The sequence below is a fragment of the Homo sapiens genome, chromosome 14 (genome assembly GCF_000001405.40).
Source record: "Homo sapiens chromosome 14, GRCh38.p14 Primary Assembly".
Classification (NCBI taxonomy): Eukaryota; Metazoa; Chordata; class Mammalia; order Primates; family Hominidae; genus Homo; species Homo sapiens.
Genome location: NC_000014.9, coordinates 83,901,508 through 83,915,583, shown reverse-complemented (window position 1 = coordinate 83,915,583; position 14,076 = coordinate 83,901,508). Strand labels below are relative to the sequence as shown.

Below are 14,076 nucleotides of genomic sequence, written 5' to 3'. Positions count from 1 at the left end.
CATATGAATAGACAACAGAACCTTGTTCAGAACCTAAAGTCAACCACATGAAGTTGGGGAATAGAAATAGAACATCCTGCAAACGTATAAAAGGTAATAGTTATTAACACAAAAGCAAACTCAAAAAAGCCTCCTGTTGAAGATCAAAGAGAATGTTGAGGAGACATAGAATGTCAATTATGCCAAAGAATGTGGAAGTGTCACATGATTCTGTCAGTTTTGGGAGCTTTAAAACCATTTGTGACTGACACATTATTGCTTTCCAGGAAGTGGTAGGGATGACAAAAAAGCATATTCCAACAGGGCTTTGGAGAGGATAAAGTCCAAGAAGTACTGAAACCAAGAGTCACTTAAATTTTTAAGAATCTTCATTTTAAAGATAAGTAGTAGTCCACATAGGAATGCATGGTATTCAATGATGATTTCCTACATTTATTCAAGGGATAGGAACATGCTATTGTGATCAGAAAGAAAAATCAAACAAAAAGAAGAGGCCAAAGGAAAGGATATGGTCAGAAAAAAAAATCAAACAAAAAGAAGAAGGTGATAAAGGAAAACAGACGATAGTGGTTCCTATCAAGATCTTAGAGAAAGAGAACATTAAGGTGATTGCAGATGAGAGTGTAGGTGTAAGGACAGGAAACTGAGGTTATATACACATGATGTCTTCACAACTTCTCACAGATAAATTTCTTATTAATGTACTAGGTTTTAGAGTGAGAGTTCTGAAGACTTTGATAAAAATCTACCTTCTTAGAAGACTGGAAGTGTTGACCAGGACCACGTAAAGATATTGACAGATGACAGTGAAGACACAGATAGAAAAGAAACTTGTTCTGTGATGCCAATCCATACAAAAATATACTTTTTTCTCAACTGGTTTTCTATATGAGAGAGAGAGAAAGTTAAATTTTAGGATCTCTTGAAGATCAGAAATTTTGAGAAAGAGAGAATCAATGAAATTCAGAATTTGGTGGAGTTGGTAAAAGATTCAGATGATTAAATGTTAGACAAGGCTATCTAACAGTAAATTATTGTCCCAGTGAGAAAAAAGGGTGATACCAATCAGAATGTGGTCAAGTAAAGTACCAGAATTATTGATATAAAAAAAATTAATGTGAGTGATGAAGTGGAATATTAGTGATTGTAGTCAAAGAACAAAGTTCAGATTTTAGAGATGGAGAAGCCAATAGCCACTATGGGGAAAGGGTTGGAAAAGATTAGAAGTGGAGGCCATTGGTTGAGACGCCTATGGAACAGATGAGGCTAGGCAGCTGTATGTGTTATCATCAGGGATGGAAAAATCTCAGGATAATGACAGGAGTGGGGCGGAAAGAAATCCTATCAACCTGGAACCTAAGCAATTTGATGACTGAGAGGGGATGACATAGGTATTAGGATATAACCGGGGAGCAGATGTCAAAGTAGATTGGTTAAAGTTGACTCCAAGGAAATAAAAGCTATTTAACAGGAGGGTAGATAAATAGGGCATCAGTTTCCTAGAGTGGTGTTTCAGCTATTATTGTGTTGCTTATTCTCTAGGGAGACAAATTGGAGTGATATCCAACTAATCAGAAGCTGGATGTAGCTGAAGGACTTCTTGTTCTAATTTATCTGGCTGTGTCTTCACTGAGCGGTAAACATAAATTGTATTAAAATTTGATAAGAGATGATATTTGATGAGGGCTTTAAAAAGTGTTCAATAAAGAAGTCCCCTGGATAGATAAAGTTATTTTAAACTCAAAGACAGAGAAATGGCATTGAAAACATTTATAGAACAAATAAACTTGTGTTCAATCCAAAATCAGTGAGCTATAAATGGTGCAGTTAACAAAATACACAGTTTAGTCATCGTTGCAATTGCAAAAGGCATATTTATCAAGTGCCATTAATTTACATGATTGTCAAGTGGATGATTCATAAATTTAGGCTCATTTTACAAAGCAGACATATCTCCCAGTAGGGGTCAAGGAGCTGAGTAGGAAGAACTAGATTAAATTCAGCCTAATGTTTCAAAGAAGTTTTAGCTTTGTATCAACAATTTAGCTTGCAATTATGGTCAATGATATATGGATCCTCTAGATATTCATCCAGACTAAAGTGACAACAGAATAATCCACCTGCATTCTTGGAGAAGTGTTGCATCCTTAGGAATTTATGATATGTCATTTAAAAATTATCATGTCATTAAAATAGGAAGCTTGATTGAGTGAAAGGAGAGAAGAAACATGAATAAGAACACAAATAATATGAGGGGATCGCTGAATAAAATGGAAGATTTTCAAAATCTCTTTTACATCTCATCTTCTTGCAGAGGGCACACATTCTTATTAATCCAGGATGTAATAATATAATAGATACTCATTGAATGTTGTATTTTGCAGCATTCATCTGTTGAAAGACTTGGGCACTTTTCATTACTTTATTGTTCATACCATTTTCCAGGTTTGGGTTGATAGAGTTGAATACATGGGTTATATACAGCCAGGACCTTATGGGAATAAAATGGAGGGGGTTATTTTAAATATTTGAACTCATACTTTTGAATTCAAGGAAATACTTTGAGGTTGTGATATTCTTGCTAAACTACTGCTCAGAACTCAAAGGATACCTGCATTGAAAGTAGCTCTTTCATTGTCATTTTATGTCTTATTAACAGCAATTTTTTTAAAAAAAAGATGTACTGTGGTGCATAAGAAGGTAAAATGTTATTTGCCTCACACCCCACCTTTATTCTCCATCATCTTCTAGTACTATAAGGATAGCTATTGTGGTTTTACTGATGTAAATTGATCAAAACAAGCATTTGATTTCAGCCAAAGCTGTCCATTAATTTTTTGAAGAAAATTCTTCTCCCTTCCCTTTCTCCCACCTTTCCTATTCCTCTCTTTCTTCCTTTCTCCATTTTTTTCTGTCAATTTTCCCTTTTTCCTGTGTAGACACTATACAGAAATGTGAAACAATGGGGAAGGCATGCAGAAAACCTACAAACTGAGATGTGTTGAATTGAGGCTGAGTAAATTGTTTGGATGGAAAAGTTTTCTGAGGACCTGAGCTCATTCTTTATAAAGGCCCTTTTAAGTCTAGACACAGACACGTTTCTGAATCTGTAGAAATGATTTGTATGCTGGCCTAATCCTGGAGTGCTCTGATTATAGAATTTGGAAGTGAGGCATTTCTAAAACAAAAAGGAATGGTGAGGTCTTTGGTGATGAAAACCTCAGCAAAAATAGAATGATTCAGAAAGCAAGAGCATCTGGTTTAACAAATAAGCAACTCAGAAAAGAGGCTTGTCTCATGTCACTGCTGGGCTTTCTGAAAGCCTTTTTGAATGTTTCACCAATGCACTGGTTTCCTAGGGCTGTTATAACTGGTTGGCTTAAAACAAAACAAATGTATCCTCTCACAGTTCTCTGGGATAGCATTTGGAAACCAAGGAGTCTCAGGGCTGTACTCTCTGAAGCCTCAAGGGAAGCATTTCTCCTTCCCTCTTCTTAGCTTCTGGTAGATGCCAAAAATTCTTGCAGACATATCACCCAAATCTCTACCTCTACTGTCGCGTGGTATTTTCTCTATGTTTTTTCTGTGTGTAAATTTCCTTTCTGTTTTTAGAGTTCAAATCATGGAAAAGGTCTTATTCTAATACAATATGAACTCATCTTACCTTGACGGTATCTGAAAAAGCCCTATTTGCAAATAAGATCACATTCACATGTCTCAGGGTTTAGGTCTTTAACATACACAGCTTCTTTTAGGGGAAACATAATTCAACCCACAACACCTGACACATAATGTTCAGGATTTTTTTGAATCAGTTTTATTGTTATTTTTCTTGCCAGTTTGCTTAGGTTTTAGGTTTGTTTTTGTTTGGTTGTTTCTTTGTATTTAAATTGGAAGTGTGTCCTTAACCTTTCAGTTATGTGCAGATAAATGGGATATCATTATAAATGAACATAAAAAGCAACTTTTCTTTCCACAGCAACAAAGAAAAACTTTAAGAGAAAACATTTAAAATCATGAAGCATATCTCTTTGCTTTACATCACATTTAACATTTTTTTCTCCATATCAAGGCTTTTTTACCATTATTAATCTTACCATTTTTTATCTTATTTTTTAATAGACACTTTCTACATTTCAAGAAAGCACCTATTTCCTTCTTTTTCCTTATTCTTCTTCTGATACCAATTCTTATCTCCAAGCATTTTTTTTTTCCAGGGATTGCCTTTAGAGAAAAGCAATGTATTAGTCCATTTTCACACTGCTATAAAGAAATACCCAAGACTGGGTAATTTATGAAGGAAAGAGGTTTGACTCAGTTCCACATGGCTGGGAGGTCTCGGGAAACTTATAATCATGGTGGAAGGTGAAGAGGAAACAATGACCTTCCTCACATGGTGGCAGGAGAGAGAAGAGTGAGGGAAGGAGGAATTTGCCAAGCACGTAAAACAATCAGATCTCCTGAGAACTCACTCACCCGTGAGAACAGCATGGGAGAAACTTCCCCCATGATCCAATCACCTTCTACCAGGTTCCTCCCTCAACACCTGGGAATTACAATTCAAGATGAGATTTGTCCCTTTGGGTAGGGACACAAAGCCTAACCATATCATACAAGATAATATACACCCACAAAGCATTTAAATCAAGAATCTTTTACAAATTAACAATAAACTGCTATACATCAGAGCAATATAAACGTCAGCATATAGACACATATGTATTAGTATACACAATTCCAAAAGTCTTGGTCTGAGCTATTTTCATCAAGTTCCTTAGCATCCTTCTCATTTATCCTACAAAGATTCTGAAGCTAGGATTGTGACTTTTTACCTAGTGTGAGTAATCTATGTCCATTTTAAATAAAAAAGAATAAAATATTTTGGTGGTGGCAACTCAGCTGCCCTAGGAGATACATGTTTTTATTCTTCGCCATAGTTATTTAGCCATTTTCAACTTGCTGTATGTTCCCCAGATCTCCTGTCTAACTAGATCCTCCATCATTCTCAGGGATCCTGTATTTGTCTGTTCTCATGCTGCTAATAAAGACATACCTGAGACTGGGTAACTTATAAGTGAAAAAGATTTAATTGACTCACAGTTCCACATGGCTCGGGGGCCCTCACAGTCACGGTGGAAGGTGAATGAGGAGCAAAGTCACGTCTTATATAGAGGCAGGCAAGGGAGCGTGTGCGGGGGAACTCCCCTTTCTGAAACATTCAGATCTTTGAGACTTATTCACTATCACAAGAACAGCATGGGAAAGGCCCACCCCCATGACTCAATTACATCCCACCGGGACCCTCCCACAACATGTGGAGATTATGGGAGCTACACTTCAACATGAGATTTGGGTGGGGACACAGCCAAACCATATCAGAACCCTTGTTCTAAACCTCAAGTAGAAAGTAGAACTTGCTATACAGGAATTTTCTTCATTTCCAATCAAGCAACCTGCAAATGTTTTCACGTGCATCTGCATGCTCTCTTCTTTTTCTCTCTTCTCCACATTCATATAAGCAAATTGCATCCACTTTTTTATTTTCTACAAGCTTAACCACTGCTATGTGCTTAAACTAAATTTCTAGTTTCCTCATCAACCCCCACCTTCACTCTCACCAAACAAATAAACAAACAATAAACCTATTTGTCCTTGAACATTCTCTTGTACAACAATAGAAATAATAACACCTTGTTTCCCAAGGTAGTGTTTATTAATATCCTCTTCACCTCATTGGTGGAAGAAGAATTCCTGCCCTAGAGTTATGAAGATGGTTGAGTACACTACATACAACACTGGACAGATGAGGTCCATGGCAGCTTATTAGTGACATACACTCACATCTTGGGGGATGATGACTCACCATGCTATGCAGGACCATGAATGGATTGCTGTTGGGAAATAGGTGAATAAGCAGGGGCTATGGGAGTTAGGCTTTATAGTATTAGGAGGGTAGGGTAAAGCTTGGTTCCCACAGGAAGATGTGATTGGCTTGTTTCAATAGTTTTGTGGGTTGGTAAGAAACTGAAATCTTCTACACGGATGTAAGCAACCACTGTTCTTGGTCTCCATGATAAAGAAGGTGGTATGGCTATGATACCTTGTCCATGAGACCACAATGGCGAGATGCACTTGGGCTAGGACATTTGAGTTCATCTTGGTTTTCCCCAGATATTAAAGAACACATATACTGGGTCCTTATTTTAGACTTTATACCGCAATTAAGGCATTCTTGGATGATCCTTTTTTTTTCTATTTTTCCTTTACCACACAATTATTTTGTGTACTCTGCCAATTTGAACAAAATAATAGCTTTTGTAAGTTTTCATCATTCCCCTCATCTCCCCATAATTCTTCTGGCTTCTCTCTGCTTATCCTCTAGAATTTGACTTAGCAGCCACCTGTCCTGGGTCTAGGTCTCCTCTGTCAACTTCCCTGAGGTTGTGACAAGTGCCGCTCTTGTTGCTTTCACAGCATTCTGTGTTTAACCTATCACCAAATACATCATTTTTGGGAATAATTATTTACTCCTTTTTTCCCACATTAGATTCTAAGCTTTAGATGTCAGAAACTATGTTTTGTGTATGTTTTCCCTAGTGTGTGGCACACAGTAGGTGCACAGTAAATATATGTTTAAATTTTTTAAAATGACAGTGAACTGAATATACATCTATCTTAATATGAAAAGAGCAGCATGGTTAAAATACTTAAACCCAAGTATCCAGAACACTTCTGATTTTTTTATTAGCAGTTTTCTTCCCTACCTTTTCTCATCTTGCTACTCATTAAGCTTTGTTTTCAAACAGAATCCTAGCTGGCACCATCAGTGATGTATTGGTTTCCCCAGGTTCCTAGGAAGCACTTTGATCTTCATGGGGCAACATTAATTCTTGCTATTGGTCTGAGAACCCAATAGAATGGTGTAATTTATATCTGCTTTCATCGCTCTGGCAGTCCCCGGCAGCACCTGCCAGGGTATGGCTGCTGTATCAGCAAAACAAATGGGAAGCAAATGAATGTATATTGTGGTCCCCAAAGAGAAACCCGTTACCACTGCAACTAAGCTTGACAGGGTAGGACTCCCATTTGACTCCAAAGAACATGAAATGCTCCACTACTTTTTGAAATCATTTGCTTATATGTGGCTGCAGTTCACACATCCCAATATGTCCTTTTCCTTCATACCCCAAGGGGAAGAGAAATATGAGCCTATTCCATTCAGAGATCACTGAATAATATTTGCTGCTATCAGATTTTATTGGCTTTAGGATTGTTATTTGTTGGAAATATGTGGTGAGTCTCAAAGCCAACAACATTTCCCCAGGGTGCCCATTAGCCAGAAGAGGAACACAGTTGTAAACAATCTGTTTTGTAAAATAGAGGTGTCTAGAAGAAAAGGCATCACCATGGTGTTTGTTGAATATTTCATGGCCTAGAATGTACAGTTTACAGACAGGGAGGGAATTATAGAGGATAGTCATACAAAAATATAATTTCTAGGAAAGAGATATTTTCTCCTTTCTGTCAATAGTTTGGTACAGGAAGCTAGAATATGAGTGAGTAGTGAGGAGAGAAAATAAATGCCATGCATAAAATGTCAGAAGAATTAGGTTTTCAGATTCCTTGGAATGATGTTCCTTTTCACTGATTACCTATGAAATACTTTCATATTTGCGTGCTTTGTCATAGGCTTCAGAGTATTTGTTTCATTTCAGTTAGTAAACAATGCCAATGGACAGAAATAGCAGTAGCACATTTTTTTTTTTTCTAGAGGTAAGAACATGGCCTAAAAGAGGATGTATTCAACTCACAGGCTTTATTCTGCCATACATGGCACCTCTAGATTCCACAATATAGAAAAAAATCTTCAAAATTACACACCAAAGTGTGTGTGTGTGGGTGTACACATATCAAAATCTCTAAAATTACACACCAAAATGTGTTTATACATATGTATATACTTTTATGCAATGAGTGTGCATAGCTTTAATCAGATTCTCATACCCCCTCATTGCTATTTTACCTAAATTTGTGTTACAGTTATATCGAAAGAACTAAAAGGGAGAGAGACAGAGAGAGATGTAGCCAAATGGATAGAAATTCACATGACTTTGTTGATTGCTTTGCTTTTACTTTCAGCCAACATTCTGACTCTCCAGTTATGCCACTTAAATGCCTTAAATATTTGCTTATTTAAAATTATAGAAAAGATATAATTGTTTATTGTTAGTATTTTATTTTCCTTTGATCAGTGACTTGTTTTTACTATATTTCTTTGTATTTTTATGCATTACCTTATTTCAGAAAAATTATAATTTTTCTGGAGACCTAATGCAATTGTTATAAAATAATCATAATGATATTTACAATATTTATTAATTTTTTATGTTTACCATTTCCAGGAAGTATGCTGACTGTTTTACATGTGGTAGCTACAAAAATCTCATAAAATGTAGAGCAGGATGCCTAGAGGAAACTGAGGCTGAGAAAGATGCAATAACTTGCTGAATATCACAGAAACAATACGTGATTCAAAGACTCACATACAGCCCTCTTCATGATTGCAGAATCTCAACTTTCAACTATACTGATTCTCCACAATGATGCATTTCTCGTTGTAATTTAATATAACTCTACAAGGAGAACATGGAATGGGAAAAATCTGACCAACATTGCATAATATGATAAAAATAACTCATGATTACCTTAAAAGAAGTACTGTAATTATGTATGATAGTGAGCAAGTTATTTAATAGCTATTTTCAAAGTCTGGTCATCATCAAAAAGTTTCACCAAAACAAAAATAAAATATTAGAAAACAAACTTCAGCTGCCAGGAATTGTTAGCTGATGTACAAGTAATTTGCAAATACTTTGTCCCTATCTATTCCTTCACTGGGACTTAAAAATAAAATTACTCATCTATATTTTTCTGACAACTAGGAATGTTCTTGCTACATAGTTCTGTCCAATAAGACATAAGGATTTTGTTTAAGATTTTTGGGGATTTTTTTAATAAAGATCCGTATATAGATGGCTTCATTCTCTTCTCTAATATCTTAAGTGATGCATATGTTTGCTTCAACCATATTGAAAGCATTAAGAACAGGCCTAGAGTACCACTGATGGCCTGACTCTGACTTTTGAACCACTGAGCCAATGGCAGCAGCTACGCAAAAACTGTCTACTATGTGAGAAAATAATTCTCTATATCTTTAAGCCACTGTTAGAAGTGGTTTATGGTTCTCATGGCCTGTATCATTCCTAAATGATAAATATGCTCAGCATATGGAAAACATTCAGATAGATGTGGAATCTCAGGGAAGAAACAAAACATATTTTTTACACATGACATGATTTTGCATGTAAAATTTTTTGAAATATCTATTCACAAGGTATTAGAATTAATGCATGGACTTAACAATGTAATTGAGTACAAGGTCAATATATGAAAATCAATTACATTTATTTACAGTAGCAACAAATATTAAAATTTATTATATATCAACAACAACATTTTAGACATCAAATATGCAGAAATGAATCTATAAAAAAATACATGTCTTCTAAACTAAAACATAACTTTATTTAGATAAACTAAAAAAGACAAAATAAAACAGATCACATTCATAGTTTCCCAACCATGGTTCACAACAGTGAACCATAAATCACTATTGTAAAGATGTTAGTTTCCCCCAATTTAATTCATAAATTAAATAAAAATCACATCAGGTTTTCTTTTGGCAGAAATTGCACAGCATATTCTACAATTTACATCCAAAGGGCCAGGAATAGCTACATCAATTTTGAAATAAAAAAAAATAAAACTGAAGGATTTATACTCCCAGATTTATTGTAAAGTTACAATAATTGAGACTATATGAAATATGTGTAACAATAGATAAATATACAGATAAAATTGAAAAGAGATTGAAATGGTAGTTTGAACATATAGGGTCACCTGATTTATAGAAAAGGTATCATTGCAGTCTGGTGAGTAAAAATGCTATTTTCCATAAATGGTGCTAGGTCAATTGGATATCTATGTGGAAATAAATACATTTTTACTGTACATCACATCATATACAAAAAGTAATTTCTGATGGCTTATGAAACAATAAAGATTCCAGAAAAATATGATGAAATATTCTATTCATGACCTTGAGATAGACAAATTTTATAAAACAAGAGTAACTATGTAACACTAACAGTAACTATGAAGGAGAAATGATGAATAGACAAATTCAGATTTAAGGATTTCTACCTATTAAAAGAAGCAATTAAGGGTATAAAAAGTAACTAATAATGTGAAGCATTTGCAATACATATATCTAATGTAGTAACTCATCAAGGACTCATATAGAGCTTATTTATTTTTATTTATTTTTTATTTATTTTTTTGAGATGGAGTCTTTCTCTGTCGCCCAGGCTGGAGTGCAGTGGCATGATCTAGGCTCACTGCAAGCTCTGCCTCCTGGGTTCACGCCATTCTCCTGCCTCAGCCTCCCGAGTAGCTGGGAATACAGGTACCCGCCACCATGCCCGGCTAATTTTTTTTTTTATTTTTATTTTTGCATTTTTAGTAGAGATGAGGTTTCACCGTGCTAGCCAGGATGGTCTCGATCTCCTGACCTCGTGATCTGCCCGTCTGGGCCTCCCAAAGTGCTGAGATTACAGGCGTGAGCCACTGCGCCTGGCCCATATAGAGCTTTTTTTTAAACATCCTACATATCAATAAGAAAAATCATATACTACAACGAAAAATGGTAAAAATACGATGTCACTTTATAAAAGAGAGTATTTTAATTACTCTTTAACATAAAATTGTGGCTTAGTCTTATTAATCATCAGGAAATATGAGTTAAAAATCATGATAAAATATTATCACACCTCTACCAAAAGACAAATAAAAGGTAGAAAATACAAAGTGTTAAGAAGAATGTGGAGCAACTGGAATTATCTCATTACTGCTGGTTCAAATATGAATTGATACAACCTCTTGAGAAAATTGATTAATATATGCCAATGACTCAGGGTTTTCCACTTGCAGGCATATACAAGAGACGTGGACAAAAATCTTCATAGTTGTATTTCTTGCAATAGCCTAGAAGTGGAAACTACCTAAATGCCTAGTAACAGTAAAATGGTAAAATTTTACTGCACACAAGGACATACTATTTTACATTGGCAAATAAATAACATCCTACTAATTAACATGACTGAACACACAATTGTAATGTTGCATACAAAAGGCAAGACACAAATGAGCATATACTGTACCATTTTATTTAGTTAAATTTAAAAAACAGGTACAATTAATTTGTACTTTGAGAAGGCAGTATAGCGATTCAGTGACTGGGAAGGGTCATGAGAGTCTTCTGGGTGCTGGCAATGTTCTGTTTCTGTTTTTTTTTTTTTTTTTTGAGACGGAGTCTCGCTTTGTCACGCAGGCTAGAGTACAGTGGCGTGATCTCGGCTCACTGCAAGCTCCGCCTTCTGGGTTCACGCCATTCTCCTGCCTCAGCCTCCCGAGTAGCTGGGACTATAGGCGCCCACCACCACGCCCGGCTAATTTTTTGTATTTTTAGTAGAGATGGGGTTTCACCGTGTTAGCCAGAATGGTCTCGATCTCCTGACCTCGTGATCTGCCCGCCTTGGCCTCCCAAAGTGCTAGGATTACAGGCGTGAGCCACCGCGCCTGACCTTGTTCTGTTTCTTGAGTGTTGATTACATGGATGAATTCATTTTGGAAAAAATAATTGAGGTGGTATCTTCGATTTTTGCACTATTTATACATGAATGATACACTTCAACAAACAACTTATTTAAAAAGAAACAACTTATTTAAAAAGAAAGCTTTTTGGCTCTACTGTATTCTTTTTCTGTCACCCAGGAAGAAGATATGGTGGTTGAAGTTACAAGGACTCCTTGTTGTAACCAGGAGCCGATCTTGATCAATGGAGCTACATAAAGCATGTTGAAATGCAAAGAAAGATAGAAGGAGCCTGTGGTACTGAAAACATTGAGGATTCTCTGAACCAGCCTTGGCTACCCCACCATTTAACTTGAGAAAAAATATTTCTTTCCTCTTTAAGCTCTTCTTCTACCAAATGTATCAGGAAATAAAAATATATTAAATTAAAACAAATAGATGTTTGAGTTTTCAGTGTTGTCAAATTGGCTACTTTGTAGAAAGAGAACAATGTTCTCTCTCTTCTGGGTCTGTTAGATTATACAGAAATGAGGTTGTTAAGAGGATATTCTCTGACATTGCGATATTAACATTTTAAATTTATCTGAAGCCTTTTTCACCCTGACTGGCCCATTTAGGAGTAGTTACTGTACAGGGTAAAGCTTTTATTACTGTGCAAACTCTATGATACTGGAACTTACTTGTGTACATTACAGTCTTTCCTATGACATTGTGAGCTTTTTCAGAGAGAGGGATCTGTCACTTTTACCATTATATTACAGTTCATGTATTAATATGGCTTTAAAATGCGTTAAATTTAATAGAACAGAGTGAGAATATGCCTCAGCTTCAAAATGATAGAAATCAAGTCCAACAAAATCCATGCAACTTAATGAACATTCACTGATTTGAACTAATTTAAAATAAAATTATTCCACTAAAGGAGGAAGGACAAAGGTAGTGATGTGTGTGGATTGTATAATTTTTTTAAGACACTAATAATATATTTTACGTAATTTTTATTAGACTTTATTTTTCAAACCAGTTTTAGTTCCCCTGCAAAATTGAGCAGAAAGTACTGAAAGTTCTCATAAACTCTCTTCCCCCACACTCTTACAGCATTCCCCACTATTTAAACACCAGTGAGGTATGTCAGTTACAATTGATGAACCTGCATTGACACATCTTTATCACCCAAAGTCCATAGTTTACACTAGGTATCATTCTTGCCGTTCTACATTCTATGGGTTTTGACAAGTGTATAACTGACCTGTATCTACCACTGCAGTATCTGACAGAATAGTTTCACTGTCTTAAAAATTTTCTGTGCTCTGCCTGTTCATCCCTCCTTTTCTCTTAACCCCTAACAACCACTGATCTTTTCACTGTCACTATGGTTTTGCCCTTTCCAGAATGAAAAATAGTGGGAATCTTATAGCATGTAGCTTTTTCAGATTTCCTTCTTTCATTCAGTAATGTGCATTTAAGTATCCTCCATATCTTTTCAATTTTATTTTATTTCATTTTAGCAGTAAGTAATATTCCATTGTCTGGATATACCATGGTTTATTCATTCATTTACCTACGGAAGAACATCTTTATTACTTTAAGGTTTCAGCAATTATGAAAAAGCTGCTATGAACATTCCTGGGTAGGTTTTTGTATGGACATAAGATTTCAACCCATTTTGGTAAATATCAAAGAGCACAATTTCTCTATATTATGGTGATACGGTTTGGCTGTGTCCCCATCCAAATCTCATCTTGAATTGTAGCTTCTATAACCTCCATGTGTTGTGAAAGGAACCCAGTGAGAGATAATTGAATCAGGGGGTGGTTTCCCCAATACTGTTCTCATGGTAGTGAATAAGTCTCATGAGATCTCATGGTTTTATAAGGGGTTTACCCTTTCACTTGGCTTTCATTTCTCTGTTGCCTGCCACCATGTAAGATGTGCCTTTTGCCTTCTGCCATGATTGTGAGGCCTCCCCAGCCACATGAACTGTGAGTCCATTAAACCTCCCTTGCTTTATAAATTACCCAGTCTTGGTATGTCTTCATCAGCAACGTGAAAATGGGCTAATACATATGGCAAGATCATGCTTAGTTTTGTAAGAATCTGCTAAACTGTCTCTCAAAGTGGCTGTACTATTTTATAATTCTCACCATCAATGAATGAGAATTCTTGGTGCTTCACATCCTTGCCAGCACTTAGTGTTATTAGTACTTTGGATTTTGCCCATTTTAATAGGTATGTAGTAGTCTCTCATTTTTATTTTAATTTGCAATTTCCTAATGAGAAACAGTGTCAAATATCTTTGTAAATTTGTATTGCTTATTTGCAATCTATATATCTCTTTGGTGAAGTGTCTGTACAGGTTTTTTA

The 14,076-nt window shown here is 35.7% G+C and overlaps 1 long non-coding RNA gene across 4 annotated transcripts; it reads left to right on the top strand.

The window, feature by feature from the left end:
• The first annotated feature begins 236 nt into the window (after positions 1-236).
• LINC02305 (long intergenic non-protein coding RNA 2305) lies at positions 237-12,147 on the top strand. 4 transcript variants are annotated; one of them, NR_184185.1, is made up of 3 exons: positions 237-543; positions 1,543-1,636; positions 11,893-12,147. It is a non-coding gene; the product is annotated as a long intergenic non-protein coding RNA 2305 (long non-coding RNA). The 4 variants fall into 4 exon arrangements; NR_184183.1 differs by having other exon boundaries at positions 237-605; NR_184184.1 differs by lacking the exon at positions 11,893-12,147 and adding an exon at positions 8,403-8,712.
• Positions 12,148-14,076: the final 1,929 nt, after the last annotated feature.